Source organism: Homo sapiens, chromosome 1 (genome assembly GCF_000001405.40).
Source record: "Homo sapiens chromosome 1, GRCh38.p14 Primary Assembly".
In the NCBI taxonomy this organism is placed as follows: domain Eukaryota; kingdom Metazoa; phylum Chordata; class Mammalia; order Primates; family Hominidae; genus Homo; species Homo sapiens.
This window is the reverse complement of record NC_000001.11, coordinates 2533196-2549545: the sequence shown is the minus strand read 5'-3', so window position 1 is coordinate 2549545 and position 16350 is coordinate 2533196. Positions and strand designations below refer to the sequence as shown.

At 62.5% G+C, this 16350-nt stretch overlaps 6 annotated features.

Moving 5' to 3' along the window:
- Positions 479 to 1348: an enhancer, noted in NCBI's record as "H3K27ac-H3K4me1 hESC enhancer chr1:2479637-2480506 (GRCh37/hg19 assembly coordinates)". NCBI's record gives its function as "activates a minimal SCP1, AML or CMV promoter by ChIP-STARR-seq in naive H9 embryonic stem cells {active_cell/tissue: H9 hESC(naive)}" and the evidence as "EXISTENCE:reporter gene assay evidence [ECO:0000049][PMID:30033119]".
- Positions 3961 to 4831: an enhancer, noted in NCBI's record as "H3K4me1 hESC enhancer chr1:2476154-2477024 (GRCh37/hg19 assembly coordinates)". NCBI's record gives its function as "activates a minimal SCP1, AML or CMV promoter by ChIP-STARR-seq in naive H9 embryonic stem cells {active_cell/tissue: H9 hESC(naive)}" and the evidence as "EXISTENCE:reporter gene assay evidence [ECO:0000049][PMID:30033119]".
- Positions 5703 to 6573: an enhancer, noted in NCBI's record as "H3K27ac-H3K4me1 hESC enhancer chr1:2474412-2475282 (GRCh37/hg19 assembly coordinates)". NCBI's record gives its function as "activates a minimal SCP1, AML or CMV promoter by ChIP-STARR-seq in primed H9 embryonic stem cells {active_cell/tissue: H9 hESC(primed)}" and the evidence as "EXISTENCE:reporter gene assay evidence [ECO:0000049][PMID:30033119]".
- Positions 13721 to 14224: an enhancer, noted in NCBI's record as "H3K27ac-H3K4me1 hESC enhancer chr1:2466761-2467264 (GRCh37/hg19 assembly coordinates)". NCBI's record gives its function as "activates a minimal SCP1, AML or CMV promoter by ChIP-STARR-seq in naive H9 embryonic stem cells {active_cell/tissue: H9 hESC(naive)}" and the evidence as "EXISTENCE:reporter gene assay evidence [ECO:0000049][PMID:30033119]".
- Positions 14225 to 14728: an enhancer, noted in NCBI's record as "H3K27ac-H3K4me1 hESC enhancer chr1:2466257-2466760 (GRCh37/hg19 assembly coordinates)". NCBI's record gives its function as "activates a minimal SCP1, AML or CMV promoter by ChIP-STARR-seq in primed H9 embryonic stem cells {active_cell/tissue: H9 hESC(primed)}" and the evidence as "EXISTENCE:reporter gene assay evidence [ECO:0000049][PMID:30033119]".
- Positions 14729 to 15232: an enhancer, noted in NCBI's record as "H3K4me1 hESC enhancer chr1:2465753-2466256 (GRCh37/hg19 assembly coordinates)". NCBI's record gives its function as "activates a minimal SCP1, AML or CMV promoter by ChIP-STARR-seq in primed H9 embryonic stem cells {active_cell/tissue: H9 hESC(primed)}" and the evidence as "EXISTENCE:reporter gene assay evidence [ECO:0000049][PMID:30033119]".

Below are 16350 nucleotides of genomic sequence, written 5' to 3'. Positions count from 1 at the left end.
CTGCTCCTCCCACGGAGGAGAGACAAGCTCACAGGTGGGGAAGCCAGACCCTCGAGGATGAAGTGGGGGGCACAGCCCTGTCCTCCCTCAGATGCCCCAAGATAGGCCAGGGTGGGAGAAGGGGGCACCTGTCCCAGGCACTGGGTGGCCGCTGCCCGGCAGAGGGTCTCTGCCCCCATCAAAGGGAAGTGGAGGCCCCCAGGGTAGATTCTGTTTGGCCTGCATTTATGTAGCACCTACTTTATGTCTGGAAGTCGGGGGGCCCATGGGCAGGATCTGTTCAGCCCACATTTATGAGGCACCTGCTGTATGCCTGGCAGTGAGGGTGGGGCCCCAGGGGCAGGCTCTGTTCAGCCCACATTTATGAGGCACCCACTATATGCTGGGCAGTGGGTACAGGGATGGCTGCCCAGGCTGGCCTGTCCCACGGAGGAGAGACAGGCTCACAGCGGGGAAGCCAGAACCCCAAGTGTGAAGTGGGGGGCATGGGATCAGAGGCGGCCCAGACCCCATGAGCTGGGGCTGCACCAGGCACAGAAAGAGCAGTGGCAGCGACTCATGGCTTCAGGCTGCTCAGGTCCTGCCTGGGCCGACTGCAGGAAAAAACAAGGACTTCCGCCTCCCTGCGGTCCCTCCCCTACACCCGCCCACGTGGCCAGGACGTGAATGTCACCATGGGGACTTCCGCAGGGCCTAGTGCTTTCCTTTTTGTTTTTTGTGTTTTGTTTTTTTTTTTTTGAGTCTGGCTCTGTCACCCAGGCCGGAGTGCAACAGCGCGATCTTGGCTCACTGCAAGCTCCGCCTCCTGGGTTCACGCCATTCTCCTGCCTCAGCCTCCGGAGTAGCTGGGACTACAGGCGCCCGTCGCCATGCAAGGCTGATTTTTTGTATTTTTAGTAGAGATGGGGTTTCACCGTGTTAGCCAGGATGGTCTCGATCTCCTGACCTCGTGATCTTCCCGCCTCGGCCTCCCACACTGCTGGGATGACAGGCGTGATCCATCGCACCCGGCCAGGGCCTGGTGCTTTCCCAGACAGGTGACTGCCCGTCTGGTCTCGGCTTCCCCTAAGCAACATCCCAGGATCCTGCGGAAAGACCCACCCAGGCCTGGGCCTTCCCTGCTCGGTGCAGGGCTGTGGGCGCGACCCCTGGCAGCAGGCCAGGACGTGGGGGGCCGCCCTGCCAGAGCTGGGACAGGGCCAAGGGACCCTCCACCTCTGAATTTGCCTTGGGAGCTGAGACTTCTGATGGGAGACCTCAGACCTCTGTCTGTCTCTTCCTCTGTCTCTTCCTCTGAGCCACAGGGGCTGCAGGTCCAAGCCTTTTGCCTGGACAGGCCGCTAGCCACCAGGGGGCAGCAAAATCCAGGCCCTGCCTCCCCGGCCGCAGGTGCCACTTCCTAGAACCTGGGCTCCCTGTGCCATCACCTGCGTGCCTAACCCTGGGTGTGCATTTGGGGCCACACTCACTGCAGCCCTTTAAGAATCCACCCCCTCCTCCCTCCCCTCCCCCTGGGAAAACACAAGGGCTGCCCTCCATGGTCTGGTTGTCAGTGAGGGACACGGGGCTGGGCCCAGACACTAGAATAAATTATTCGGGTAATACATGGTTCGATGAGGGGCCAGGTGAGCCCGTGGGGGTTGGGCAGCCATGGTCGGGTTGGATCACGGTCCAAGGCCGGCCCCCACTGCTGCAGGGCCTCAGCCCACTCTCACTTCCTGTGTCTCTGTCATGGTCCCAGAGTGCAGGAGCCCCGTTTGCTCATCTCTAAAATGGAGTCATGTCGCTCTGCCTCCCGAGCTATTGGGAGGTGACTGGCGGACACTCCCACAGGTGGCTGGTACACAGCAGGGCTCACAGGGGCACTGGACAAACCGGGGCTCCCCCAGATTGCTGTGGGCAGGGAGGAGCTGTCCCCAGCTCAGAGCAGCCCTGACGGGCTTTCCAGCAGGGGCCAGGGTAGAGGCCAGCGGGGCAGGGCCCCAGCCCAGGGAGCCCCGAGCTCCCTGCCCACGTCTTGAGCAGAAGCCTCCAATCTCAGGGGCTGCAGTCGGCCAAGCTGTGGGCCAGAAACTCAGGCAGAAATTGCAGGGCTAGTGCCTTTATTAAAGCTCCATGGAGGGGCAGCTCCAAGGCCTGCACGCCACAGTTGGCCGCCATTGCCCAACTGACACAGCACATCCCCCCCGCAGTGCCTCCACAGCCCCACACCCCGGGGCAATTAGCACAGGGCCATGCCCTTCCATTGCGCAGCGTTCACCCACCCCACCACCACTTCAGCATAAACCGTGGAGTCCTTTCCCAGGCTGGACGGAGCCGGGGTCCAGCTGCGGGGCCTGGCTGGGGAAGCGCTGCCCGGCTGGGGAGGCGCTCCCCAGGCCCTCCCCACACACCTGCCCCTCCCCGCCGGGCGCATCCCCACCTCCCGCTGCCTCAAACCGCCTTCCTAACAACACCCTTTCCCCAGAGCCCCACCTCCAATATGTAGACTGGCCGCTCCCTCCATGGGAGGGGCTGCTCAGCCCACGCCCCGCCCTGGCGCTAGGCACCAAGCAGGAGGGGAACGGAAATCCTCTCTGGTTCGCTGGGAGATGGGGAGCCTGGCAAAGTGGCCACCAGGGCGTCCACCGGGTCCCCTGTGGGCGGGGTTGCTGGGCGCTGCTCCTGGGCAGAGGCCGAGGTCTCTCCGGCCCGTTGCTCTTCATTCACCGTGGCCTGAGACTCCCCAGTACTCGGTGGAGGGAGAAGGCCGGAAGGCTTCCCGGAGGCGGCGCGCCAGGCCTTCCCTGAGGTCCATCCGCGGCGCTCTCGGCGGCCCGGGCTCCGGGAATGAGGTGGCTGGTGAGGCCCGCGGAGTGGGAGGCCGGTAGGACGCGCGTCCTGCCCAGCGCAGGCGACAGACACCCCTGCCGCCACCCCCGCCAGGCTCGCCGGGGACGTTTCCTGTTCTGTCCCCAGCTGGGAGCTGGGCTGGCACCGCACGAACTTCTCGGACAGCAGGGAGAGCAGAAAGGTGGCAAGGAGCGCCCACCCGCCCCTGCCTGGCCCCGCAGGAGGGCCCTGCGCTACCGCCGCACCGCCACGCTCTTCACTCTGGAGCACCGGCCTCAACGAGCGCGCGGGGCGGAGGGCGGCCGGGAGGCGGCGGCGGCGCAGGTGGTGGAGGCGTCTTTATGGGCGCCAGGCAGTGGTGCACGCTTTCCCACGCCCGGCAGCCAATTGGAGGCCAGGGCCAGAAGAAGCACGGCCCCGCCCCCTAGCTCCGGGCCGGGCCACCCCCACCCCCACCCCCCTCACCCCCCACACCCCCCACTCCCCGCTCCCCCCGCCCCCGGCCTCCAGCAGGGCGATGTGGGTAGGCGTGGCTGGGGGGTCACGTGGGACCTGACCGGGAGGAGGAGCCTGCCCATACGTCCCTCCGTCAAACCTGCTCCCTCCCTGTCCCCAGCTTTCCGACCACCTGACCTGTCCTCCATCTGACAGTCTTCCAGCCTGGCCAGGAGCAGCCCCAGCCCAGGCACCTGCCCGGGCCTGGCCTCCTCAGGGGTGAGGACAGGGGCCGCAGAGGCAGCTCCAGCTGTGGAAGCAACAGGGAGACAGGCCAGGGAAGGGGCTGAGCCGCAGCTACTGCACAGGGGGGCCAGGGCCACTGCTCCAGGAAGCCCCCACCCTCCTCCTGCACTTCCTGATAATCCAGGCCAGCGGCCACCTCCCCCAGGAAGCCCCCGACCCTTCCCTCCCCTGGGCTGGCTCTCATATTAAAAGGTCATCCTTGGAGGTGCTCTGGGCAGTTAATTCCAGGCAGCAGCCCCACACCCCAGCTTCTCCAAACCTGGTATTTGTTAACCAGCCGCCCTTGGGGGTCCTTCCATCAGCCTTGGGAGGCAGCAGTGCTGTCCCACACCTCAGACAAGGAGACTGAGGTCCAGGGAGGAGGCCTTACCCAGCTCACTGCCCCACCAGGTCCCTCTCCTGCCCCCTACACTGACAGGGTGGGCTGCTGGGTGGGCAAGAAGATGGTTGCAAAGGGTGTGAGAGCCGTGCAGGCCAGACTTGGAAGCAAGGAAGGTGCCAGCCCTGGGGACTCATGGCCAGCGTGTGGGGGCGAGCAATGGGTAGTGTGACGGTGGAGGCACGGCGCCAGGCATGGTAGTGGGTGCCTGCAGGGTCCTCCTGAGCCATCCTTTACCCAGGCACCCATGATAAATGACAGGCCCAGGAAGGGTGCCAGTCTCGGGCCAAAAGAGAGGGGGTAGCAGCTGGCCTGGGTGGCTGCACAAGACTACCCCTATGCCCTGGAGACCTCCTGCCCCCATGGCCAGAAGGGAGGTGCCTCCCTGTCACGAAAGTCCTGCTGGGGGTGGCCAGGTAGGCTGTGGCTGCCGCTCCGACAGCCCCGCCTGCCTGAGGCCATGAATGGCCGGGAGCCTTTTGTGGGTGAGCAGCTGGCTGCCGGCCCTTTCTGTGGGGCTGTGGGAAAGTCCTCGGGCCAGCCTCTCACAGCCTCTCAAAGCCCGGATTATCTCTGGGTCTGCAGGACACCCTCTCAAGGACGCCCCCAGCATGCTTGGGGGCAGGGACGCCTCTGCAGAGGCCCTGTCTGCTGAGCTGTGGCCCCAGAAGTCGCTTGGCCAGGAAGGGTCTCCTGAGTGGAAAGACCCCTCGGACACCCCACTCCATGCCCCCTACCGCATCCAACCGCCCAGACTCAGAAATGCCCGCCACGCCAGGCAGGCTGTCCTGGAGCCCCGGCTCACTGTTGTCCTGGCCTCTAGCCCTCTGGGGAAGGGCGTGCTCAGCAGAGGAGCTTGCTGGGGGTTGCTAGTAACCCCCCCTCGACCCCAGGCCACGTGGCTGCGCCCACAGCTGGGCAGACCCAAGCCAGATCCAGGGCTGAGATCACACTTGGAGGTGCTCAGGGCTGAGGGCCTCGAGGCAAGTGCTCACTTACTCAGCACCTACTGCATACAGGCCAGGCAGAAGCTGCTCAGAGTCCTGAGAGTGGGGCAGGACCACAGCTGCCGCACCCACACCGAGCAGGGGTGGGCCCAGCTCTAAGCAGAGCTGCCTGCGGCCAGCTGGCCTTTCCCTGACCCCCAGCCAGTTTCCAGGAAGCCTGGAACACGGGCAGGGGTCGCCCACCCAGGAAACCGAATGAAGGCGAGAAGAAGCAGAGCCGGGCAGTGCCTGGGGCAGGGGTCTGCGTGCCGAGGCCACTGCACATGCCTGGCGCTCATCCACTCTCCGTCCTCAGCACAGGCCTTGGGTGGGAGCGTTATCAGCTGCATTGCACAGATGAGGAAGCTGAGCCCCAGAGGGCCCACCTACTGAGGGGTACTCCCCAGATTTGAACCCCGTGCCCACAGCCCTCCCCACTGGGCCGTGTGCACACAGCCTGCATCAGGGGTAGGGCAGGGAGGCAGGCGCCTGCCTTGGTCCCCTCCTGGCACCTAGTGCCATGCCAGGGCCAGAGCGTGCAGGGGACAGCCAGGAGGCTGCGGGAACTGGAAGGCACTGGACAGGCCAGATGTGTGCGGTTTCCAGCGCGGTTGCTCAGGGAGCCTCGGCTGCTTCCCAGGCCTCAAAGGCAGCCTGGAGGGGGCCCTGCCGCCCGCTGGGACGACTGCTCCCCAGATGGCCTCTGAGGCCGGAGCTCAGCACACAAAGCCCAGGCAGCCCGTGGCGAATGAGTTTGTTGCCGCGCACGCGCCTTTTGTGCAGGATGAATGTCCGCAGAGGGGGGTGGATGTGGGAACCCACCCGGAGCGGGCTCCAGCCCAAATGCCCCTCCAGGCAGGGGAGGTAGGCGGGTGCCTGGGGCAGCACACAGCCTCGGTGCCAGCCCCGAGCCCTGACACAGGCAAGCAGTGCCGGGCTCCCCCTCCCCCACCTCACGCAGGAGCCACAGGCGAGGGAGGGCTGAGGGTGGCTGCCACTCTGCTGAGGGTGGCTCCAGGGCGGGGGAGCTGCCTGATGGGGCTGGAGCCCAGTGGGCTGAGGGCTACTGAGCAGGAGGCTGAACACATTCCCAGGGGCTCCAGGGGCTGGGCCGGGGTACTGGGGGGAAGCAGGACCTTCTGGAACCTGCCCTGGGCACCTTCAAGTCCAGAGGGTGGCTGCCCTCCAGAAGCCAGAGTCTCCCCTGGTTGAAGCCAGGATGCATCTCAGTCCTGGGGGTGGGGACAAGAGGCTGAAGGTCTCTGCCAGACCTAGGGGGCAACTAGAGGAGGAAGCGCAGACTCCCAGAGCCCCCTCCCGTTCCTCCTCCCTCACCACGGGACCAGCAGAACTCTCGGCCCGGGGGCTCACTTAATGAAAAAGGGTGGTTCCTGCCCGGCTGGGCTGGCAGCCTGACCTCTCCTCTGCCTAAGCTCGCCAGGCCTCTTCCTCCCTTCCCTCCATCTGTGACAGGGGTGCCATATCCACTGTGCTGCAGCAGGTCCCCGGAGACCCCCATCCATGGCTGTGGGGGTGCCCCAGGCATGGGTCCTCCCTGCTGGTCACTGCCGAGGGTCCCCACGCTGGGCTGGAAGCCCCTACCTGAGACAGCTGGCCCATCGTAATGGGGGTGGTGGTGGGGATGGGAGCCCCACTCGGTACCACACCCCAAATAGAGTGCTGATAAAGGCCAGCATCCCCTGTAAGAGTTGGGGCGGCACATCAAGGGAAGGGCTGGGATCCAAGGCTCAGAGAGAAGTGATCACTGGGGCCTGGGGCTTGAGCCCCACATCTGTGATCTCCCTGGTCCCCCTACACGTGGATGACAGAGGCTCATAGACAGAGGGTCCCCCACACCCTGGCCAGATAGTGCTCGCAGAGCTAGGGCACCAGATGGGGGGTGCTGGCACAGGGCCAGTGCAACAAGGCCAGGGCCACAGGAAGGGCCAAACACCTGCAGGCCAGTGGGACAAGAGAATGGACTTCCAGACCCAGAGTCCCAGAGCTGCCGGACCCCACCCAGGGCTTCCCAGGTAACTGACAACAAGCAGCACCCCCCCGCCTCCCAGCAGTATGGCCCAGACCCCAGCCCCTCACAGGGCCTAATCTGCTTCAGGAGCAAGCGAGCTGCCATCCCGCAAAGCCCTCAGCACTGCTCCAGGCTGCTGCTCCCCCTGGACTCTGCCCCCTGTGGAAGACACGTTGACCCCACCCTGTGTCTGTTTGTGGAGCCCCAAAGATCAGCTAGGCCACCCCCTCAATAATCAGTTGGGGAAAAAGGCCAAAAGTCAGCCCAGGACCCCAGCGAGTCATGTGGAGCTGCCAGTCTAGCCGGGAGGGAAGCTGGGACGCTTTTCAGTGCAAAGTAGGTCTTTCCCAGCGGTGGAAGAGCAGACCCGTGCGCGTGCTCTGCGGCAGGGACCTGAGGAAGTGCCTGTGGCCAGCGTGAGGGTTACATGAGCAAAGCAGGAGCCTGACCCGGGTGGGTGAGGCTGCCCACCTGCCCTAGCCCAGGGTTCTCTCTGGCCTCGGCCTCCACCTGGCAGCTGGGCCCTGGGTTTCCATGGGCCTCAGTTTGCCACCCTGTCCAATGGGCACGATGACGAAGCCTCAGGACGGTGTGGCCACACTCAAGTGCACACTCACTCAGTCCCCTCCTGAGGCTCCCACATCAGCCCCAGAAGTGAGAGGAATGGGGCACCCCCCGGGGGCGGTGAGGACAGCGATCGATCGTGGGAGGCTCTGCCTGGGGCAGGTAGTCCTTCACTGCGGGTGGGACCAGTGCTTATGAAGAGGGCCCAGCAGTAACCACTGCAGGCCACGTGGCCAGGCTTCTGTCCTACCACGCCACTGGCGTCACGCCAGGAGGTGGCCTTCCTGGATAGCATCGGGTGTGGCGCCCTGCTGTGTCTCCGTACAATGTTATTTATGGACGCTGAAACTTGAATTTCATCTTTTTCACAAGTAGTGAAACATCTTTCTTCTCTATTTATTTGTTTCAGCTGGTGCTGAGACCGGCCGACCTGTAATCCCAGCTACTCAGGAGGCCAAGGCAGGAGGATCGCTTGAGCCCTGGAGTTCAAGACCAGCCTGGGCAACACAGAGAGACCCTGTCTCAAAAAAAAAAAAAAAAAAAAAGTAAAAAACACTCTTGGGTGGGGGTGGGGAGTGGTACAAAATCAGTGAGAGGCCCAGACGCTCACCCCTTTTCTAAAAGTTTTACAAATATTAACGCTTCTGATCCTCCCGAAACCTAGTGAGGGGGCCCTATCACTGTCCCCATTTAACAGATGAGGAAACTGAGGCACGGGTAGGGTTAAGTGCCCTGCCCGAGGTCCCACAGCTGGGGACCCTGGGATTCCTCCCTGCTCCCGCCTCCCCAGCCTCTAAGAACCAGGGATTGTGGGGCTGGGGACGAGCCTCCTGAGCATTCCCTTAGCCCCTAACTTGAGAGCCCTCCCGGCCCAGGCGAGCTGGGACGCAGCCCTCCCCACCCCTCCCCAGCTCTCCGATGCGCGGGTTTCCAAGCCCCTCCCTCCGCCCGGCTGTGGGTTCGCGCTCGCCGGCGGTTCCCACACTGCGCGGGCGGGCGGCGAGGGAAGCGTGCCTGGGCCCCCCCGCGGCATTAGTGCCGGGGTCTGAGTCTGAATGAATGAGGGCGGCGGCGGGGGGCGCGGGGGGGCAACTCCCAAAAGACCATCTGGCTCCGCGTTATAATAGAGCAATAAAGGGCTTGTCTGCCTTTCAGAGGTTGGGAACGAGCTGCTCTCTGACACCGCGGGGTTTTTAACCAGCTTGGGACGGCGACCCGGCCCTGCCCCGGGGCGCACGGGGGGTGGGGGGACACCGGCGGGGCGGGGCGTGCGGCCACGTGGGCCCGGACGGCCCCTAATCCCCGCGCCCGTGAGACTGCGGGCCGCGGGCTTTCCCACCACCCACCCCTGCGCACCGGGGGAACCAACCCCACAGGTGTCCCCATGGTCCCCATAGCAGCCTGGTTTTACACTAGGGAAACTGAGGCCCGGAAAGCTGGGCAGGGGGAGCCTGAGGTTGCGCCCATGCCCTCTGGGGTGTGGACTCCAGTCCCTTGGTGAAGGTGGGGCCTGGAATGGTGCACAAAGCTGGGGCCTCAAGCCTGGCCTGGGACTTGGGAAGGCTGCAGTCTGTGGGGGGTGCCCTCAGGGCTACAGGAGCCCCCTCGGCTTCAGGAACCCCCACCCCATCTCCACAGATGCCCAGGTGCCCTAGGAGCAGCTGGCGTGCCCTGCGCAGGGGTGTGGGCTACTGTCTCAGCAGGGGCCCCAGTGGCCTCTCGGGTGCCAGCCTCACCCCAGCAGCCCTGGAGAACCCAGGCCCAAGCCAGGGCACCAAAGGGCATCAGCTCGGTGGGCCTGGTGCACCCCCAATTCTCCAGCAAGGGCCCTTCCCCCTGAGGTTCTTGGGTCAGGGCTGCGGCGGGGAGCCCAGCCACAGGTCCTGGTGGAGGGATGGAGCCTTACCTTAGTCAGATGAGAAATGGTACTTCCACCGCCCAGCTCAGCCCACCTATAGTGCTCTCACGCAAGGCCTTAGGCCTGCCTTCCCTGTTCAGACCCTACGGGTCCCCGTGTGGCCAGGTTGGTTGCGATCGGGAGATGGGTAGAGGGCCCTGCCCCCTGACTTGGTGCCCCTGGCCAGGTGCAGTGTGCAGTGCAGGGACTGGGACACCTGTTTGGGCCCACAAGCCGTATTCCAGGTGAGGATCAGACAGCAGGTGGCCAGCCCCAGCACAGAGTCTCCTGGGCTGGGGCTAACTGGGTATGGAGGGGGTGGGCGCTACTCTGCAGTGCCCCAGCTCTTTCCCCGCCATCCTCAGGGTTTGTCTCACTTCCAGCCACCTGGAGCCAGGCCTCCCAAGACCAAGATGAGCTTGGCAGGGAAAGCCCATTTTACAGACCCGTAAGCTGAGGCTCAGAGAGGAGTGGGGTGTGTCCAACAGTCTCTAAGTGAAAAAGACAAGGGCAGAGCCCAGCCTTGGCCTGGACCTTCTGCTTTCACCAAGCCACTCAGTGCCTGCCCCGGGGCCTCTGGGAAGGAAACACGCTCCTGGGGGACCCCTGCAGGTTCAAGCCTGCACTGCACACTGCACCTGGCCAGGGGCACCAAGTCAGGGGGCAGGGCCCTCTACCCATCTCCCGATCGCAACCAACCTGGCCACACGGGGACCCGTGGGGTCTGAACAGGGAAGGCAGGCCTAAGGCCTTGCGTGAGAGCACTATAGGTGGGCTGAGCTGGGCGGTGGAGGTACCATTTCTCATCTGACTAAGGTAAGGCTCCATCCCTCCACCGGATGGACTCTGCACCCCAGCTCTGCACCTCAGCGCAACACTGAAATGCCGCAGGAGATGGGCCTTCTGTCTCCACAGTCACGGGAAGAGCAGGTGTCTGTGTTCCCAGCCTGGGGAGTTGCTGCAGAGTAGGAGCTGAGAGGCTGACCCCCGTGAGGGCCCCAGAAGCACACCTGGGCAGGCCAGTCCCCTCACCTTGTGAAGCCTCAGTTTCCTCATCTGTACAATGGACTTGATCATCATAATCCAAAATCACAGAGTTGCCGTGCAGATGCGAAGCCCTTCTGGGCTGTGCACACAGGGGATGCTCATTTGGAGGTCAGGCTGTAGAGGCTGCGAGCCCTGTCCCACTGCAGCCCGGCTTCTCAGCTGGGTATCTCACTGGCTGTGACACCCCTGGGTGCTGCCAAAAGGTGTTACTCAAGGCAGACTCTCTAACCCACTTGGGATGCTCAGGCCCCCAGGTAGAATTCAGGCCCAAGGGGTGATTGGGGAGGGGGGTCTGATGTCCTGACCTCAGCAAATCGGAGTACTTCAAGCCCAGGGGAGGCTCCACATACTGGGGGGCTCAGCACACAGAGGATGATCTGCACACAGGAAGGGCTCTGCACGTAAGAGGTATCCACACACAGGCATGCTCTCTACACAGTGGGGGCTCTGCACACAGGAGGGGCTCTGCACACAGGAGCGGCTCTGCACACAGGAGGGGTTCTGCACACAAAGGGGACTGCACACAGGAGGGGCTCTGCACACAGGAGGGGCTCTGCACACGGAGGGGACTCTGCACACAGGAGCAGCTCTGCACACAGGAGGGGCTCTGCACACAGAGGGGACTCTGCACACAGGAGGGACTCTAGGGACTCTGCACACAGGAGGGGCTCTAGGGACTCTGCACACAGGAGGGGCTCTGCACACAGGAGGGACTCTGCACACTGAGGGGACTCTGCACACAGGAGGGGCTCTAGGGACTCTGCACACAGGAGGGGCTCTGCACACAGAGGGGACTCTGCACACTGAGGGGACTCTGCACACAGGAGGGACTCTGTACACAGGAGGGACTCTGCACACAGGAGGGACTCTGCACACAGAGGGGACTCTGCACACAGGAGGGGCTCTGCACACAGAGGGGACTCTGCACACAGGAGGGCTCAGGAACTGCTATTTACTTTAGCACAGTGTGAACAGGGAGGCCTATCCAGCCTCCACCCTGGACGATGAGAGAGTTCTCAGCCCACCCTCTGACCGAGGTCACTCCACGTCAGGCGTGCAGAGACAGGCCCAGCAGCTCCCAAGGACGTCAGACCCCCCTTCCCCAATCACCCCTTGGGCCTGAATTCTACCCTGGGGCTTGAGCATCCCAAGCGGGTTACAGAGTCTGCCTCATAACACCTGTTGGCATCACGTGGGAGTGTCACAGCCGGTGGAGACCCAACTGAGAAGCCGGGCTGTGGTGGGACAGGGCTAGCAGTGTCTGCAGCCTGACCTCCACCCCAGGAGAAGGCTCTGGCCCCTGCCCACCTTTCCTCGGGCCTCGGCTTCCCGACTGGACTCTGCATGCCCTGACCCCCTCTTCTGGGTGTGAGCAGCACACAGCGGCACCTCCTGTGGGAAGCCAGCGTCAAGGGGAGGAGCAGCTGGTCCTAAGCACTGAGGGCCACACCCTGAGCTCTGTCCCTTCTTGGCTCTGCTGCCAACTGACTGGCAGCATGCCCCTTGCCAAGGCCTGCCCCCAGGCATGGTGGTGGGGGGCATGACCGTGAGACCTTGGCAAGTTATTTTGCCCCTCAGCACCTCTGTCCCTCACCTGCAGATAGGGACGCACTTACCTGCCTCGGAGGGCCGCCAGGGGCCTGGTTGAGCACCGTTCCTACTGGGCAGGGCAGGGCAGAGGCACTCCTGTCAGGGTTTTTCCCCACAGTCACCCCAGGGCCCAGGGCTCACGTGGCACAGAGCAGTGCTCGGCCAATGCGGGTACTCTGGGAGTTAGGGCAGCGGGGCAGGGTGGGGACGGGTGGCCCAGCTGAGGACATCTGAGCAGGCGTGAGCATTCCTGGGCACATGCACGCAGATGCATGCATAGACACACATGGGCACACATGCACACACACACACACTGGTACACACAGACACATGGGCACACACGTACACAAGCGCACACACTGGTACACAGACACATGAGCGCACACACACACTGGGACACAGGCACACACACACACTCGTACAGACACAGGCACACACACGTACTCAAGTGCACACACATAAGTACATGCATACAGGCACACACACACACACGCACAGGTGCACTCACACAGGTGTATACACAGGAGCCTCCTGGGCTGGGCACGGTGGCTCACGCCTGTAATCCCAGCACTTTGGGAGGCTGAGGCGGGTGGATCACCTGAGGTCAGGAGTTCAAGACCAGCCTGGCCAACACGATGAAACCCTGTCTCTACTAAAAGTACAAAAATTAGCCAGGCATGGTGGCGTGTGCCTGTAATCCCAGCTACTCAGGAGGCTGAGGCAGGAGAATTGCTTGAACCCAAGAGGCGGAGCTTGCAGTGAGCCCATATCATGCCTTTGCACGCCAGCCTGGGCAACAAGAGCGAGACTCCGTCTCAAAAACAAACAAACAAAAAAAACCACAGGAGCATCCTTCCAGACTTGGAGATGTCAGTCCTGCTCACCTGGTCTCTCTTGCCCCAAGCTGGTGTCCCTGTAGTGCCCTCTGCCTGGAAGGTGCTTCCCAGAACTCCTCAAGCAGAACTCGCCAACACCCTCCTTAGTCACCGTTCCCTCTGGAAGCCCCTCTTGGTCACCCACCTTCCCCTTTGTCCCCACCTCAGGGATTCTTTCTCGCCCTTCTGAAGATGCAATGACTTCCTCCCATAGGAACCTATGCATGTGGATGCACGTATGTATGTATGTGAGCATGTGTGTGTTGTCTGTGTGTGTGCGTGTGTCTGTGTGTGGGGAAGCCCTTTCAAAAACTGCACAAGTAATAAATGCTCATTCAAGAAAACACAGACATGAAAAATTAACCAAATCTATGTCCCCAAAACTGTGTTGGCTCTGCTGGGGGGCGTGCGGCTGCCCGACTCTGCCACCGGTGTCAGACAGGCTCCAGCTCAGCTGTTGCACCTGGCTTCACCGCAGGTCCATGCCGGGCCCAGTCTACACCCTCAAGGCATCTCCCACAGGTAAGAGTGTCCCCTACCCCCAGTGCAGGAGCCTCAGTCCCAGCTCAGCATGTGTGCTCAAGCATCTGCTGACCAACGAAAGAGAAGCTGCCCACTGAGGGGGGCTGGCTGTGGGGAGGAGCTGGAACCAGCCCCATTTCTGGACCCAGGTCTTTGGTCCAGTTCTTCATTTAGGAGGGGAGGGGTGCAAGGAACTGAGGCCACAGGGAGGCCACCACCGGCCTAGCAGAGGGGCCAGGGCGTGGAAAGGGCCGAGGATTTCCTCTTGGCCTCATGGTGGTGCGCCACCCCCACAGAGCACCCCTAAAGACGAGAGCCGGCGGTTCCCACACTCCGCGCTCCTGGCGGCCTTCCCTGGTGACAAAGGGCATCGCGCGTGCCTCGCTGGCCGCCTTCATGCTACAGCCTCCCTTTGTCCACACGTCCGTGCAGGCCACCCACCATCTGGAGCTCCAGCTCCCAGCACTGATCGGATCGATGCGCTGCTCTGCCCTCGCCAGAGGGTGGAGGGCTGCAGGGAGCGGGGGGAGGCCACACCGTCCCTCACCAATGCCCCCTCCCCGCCAGAGGGCTCCCCGCACGTGAGCGCCCCAGGCTCCCTCCCCCAGCTCCGCACACCCCTCCCTTCCCACCACCCCACCTCCCTCAGCTCCTCAGGAAGAAGACGGGGCGCACCACCACACGTCCCCGTCTCACGTCAGACCCTCACCAGCTGTGTGGTGTGAGCACCTCTCTGCGCTGCAGACTCAGTGTAAACAGAAAATAAACAGTGCCTACCTCCTGGCTTCGTAGTCAAGTCTAAACTGGCAAGTACACATGAAGTGCATAATAAATACTCGAGTGTTGACTCCTCCTGTTAGCTGACCCAGAGTACATGTGACCTTGGGCATGTCACTTAACCTCTGTGACCCTCTTGCCCCCAGCCCCCCAGCTGGAGAGTGAGCACAGGCCCACGCACTTTGCAGGGAGGGCTGTTGTAGGAAGTCGGATTTCCATGTTCCATACCTGCCTGGTGATTCACAGATGCTCAGCGCCTGAGGACTCTTCCTCCCTCCCCCACTGCAGCTCCCGCCTGGAGCCCCAAGGAGAGATCTCAAACCTCTCCCAGCCACTCCACCTCCCATGAACAGGTGCCCTCCCTGGCCGAGGGTGGAGACTCGGAGCCACACCTGGTCCGGCTGCATCTGTTCACAGCTGGGGAGACAAGCTGGGTGGCTCCTTGCAGCAGGTGGGCTGGCTGCTGATGCGGGGGGTGGCCTGGCTCCAGGGCAGAGCCCTATGCATGGATGGGCCCAGGGCAATGGCAGGCAGTGCTGGCCACTGTTCAGGCAGGGGTCCTGGATGTGGGGGAGGCCGCTGTCTCTGAAATCTGGAACGGGGCCATCTCCCTGAACTGACTTCCCAGGCAGCAGGGCGTTTTGCAGACTTCGAGTAGAGTTTCCACCCAGAGGCCCCCAAGCAAGGGCTTCAGGGGCTGGAAGAGGAAGAAGCTGGGAGCTATGGTTACCCCTGACCCTCCTTCCCCAGGTCAGCCTGGCTCCTGGCCCCCGCCAGCCTGCCTGTTCCCCACACTCCAAGCTGGAAACCCTTGGGGACAGGAACACCAGGTCGGGGGTGCCCGGCACCACACCTACTTCCTCAGCTGGAGGCAGGGCCTGGGAAGGATTGTGGGGGCTGCCACTGCCTGGGCGGGGAGGGGGCAGCAGGAGGGAGTTCGTGGTTCTTCTCCAGAAAAGCTCCTCCTTTTTGTTTTCTCCAGTTGTGGCAAAATATATATAACATAAAACAACCATCTTAGCCATTTCTCAGCACAGAGTTCCATGCCATGAAAAGCATTCGTGATGTGCCACCATCACCACTGTCCACCTCCAGAAAATGTCCATCTCCCAAGCCGAACCTCTGTCCCCAGGAACGCTTACTGCCCAGTCCCTCCCAGCCCCTGGCACCCACCATTCCACTTTCTGTCTGTGAATCTGACGACTCTAGGGGCCTCCTACAATGGCACCACCTGGGATGGGCCCTTTTGTGACTGCTTTATGTCACTGAGCACAGTGTCCTCAAGGTGCAGGCCTGCTGTGACCTGCGTCACAACCTCCTTCTCTTCTGAGGCTGAAGAACGGTCCACTATGTGGAAGGACCACATTTGTTTGTTCACAGACAATGGGGCGGCGGCCGCCTCTTGGGTTTGGGAACCGCACTGCTCTGAAGACAGGGCCCAAATAACTCCCCCAGGTCCTGCTTTCCATTCTCTTGTGCATGGACCTAGAAGTGGAGCTGCTGGGTCCTATGGTTGCTCTGTGCTTCATTTTTGGGGGAACTGCCAAGCTGTTTTCTAGTGTCTGCGCCGTTTGACCTTCCCAGCACCACGTCCTGCTTTGGAGCTGGGAGCAAATGCCCCTGGAGCTTCCCATCGCCCCCCACCCCCACGGGCCCCTCCCCTCCGAGGAGCTCTTCGCTTTGCTGTCAGCCCTGGAGGGAGTGGTGCTGGGCGTGTGGATTATTTAGAAATGGGTCATGGTTCTAGACGCGTGCATTCCAGCTTAATCATGCCCAACTTGTAGGTTTTGCCTGAAGGCCCCCTGCCTCAACAGTTGCTGAGCTGTGGAGGAGAATAGAGAGTCCATGTTTCATGGGGACAGAGGTTCAGCTTGGAGAGAAGGACATTTTCTGGAGATGGACAGTGGTGATGGTGGCACAGCATCGTGAATTGAGACAGCAAAGTGCCCTGCCTCAATGTCTGTGTATGTGGAGGCAGGAGGACTATTACCAACTCTAGATGTGCCAACCCCACCCCAACTATCAAGCCCCTTAGACTTACTGAGCCCTCCAGGGTTGGGGGCTCAGGGAGGTGCAGGCAGGACAAACTCCCTCCCTCCTCAAAGCCCGGC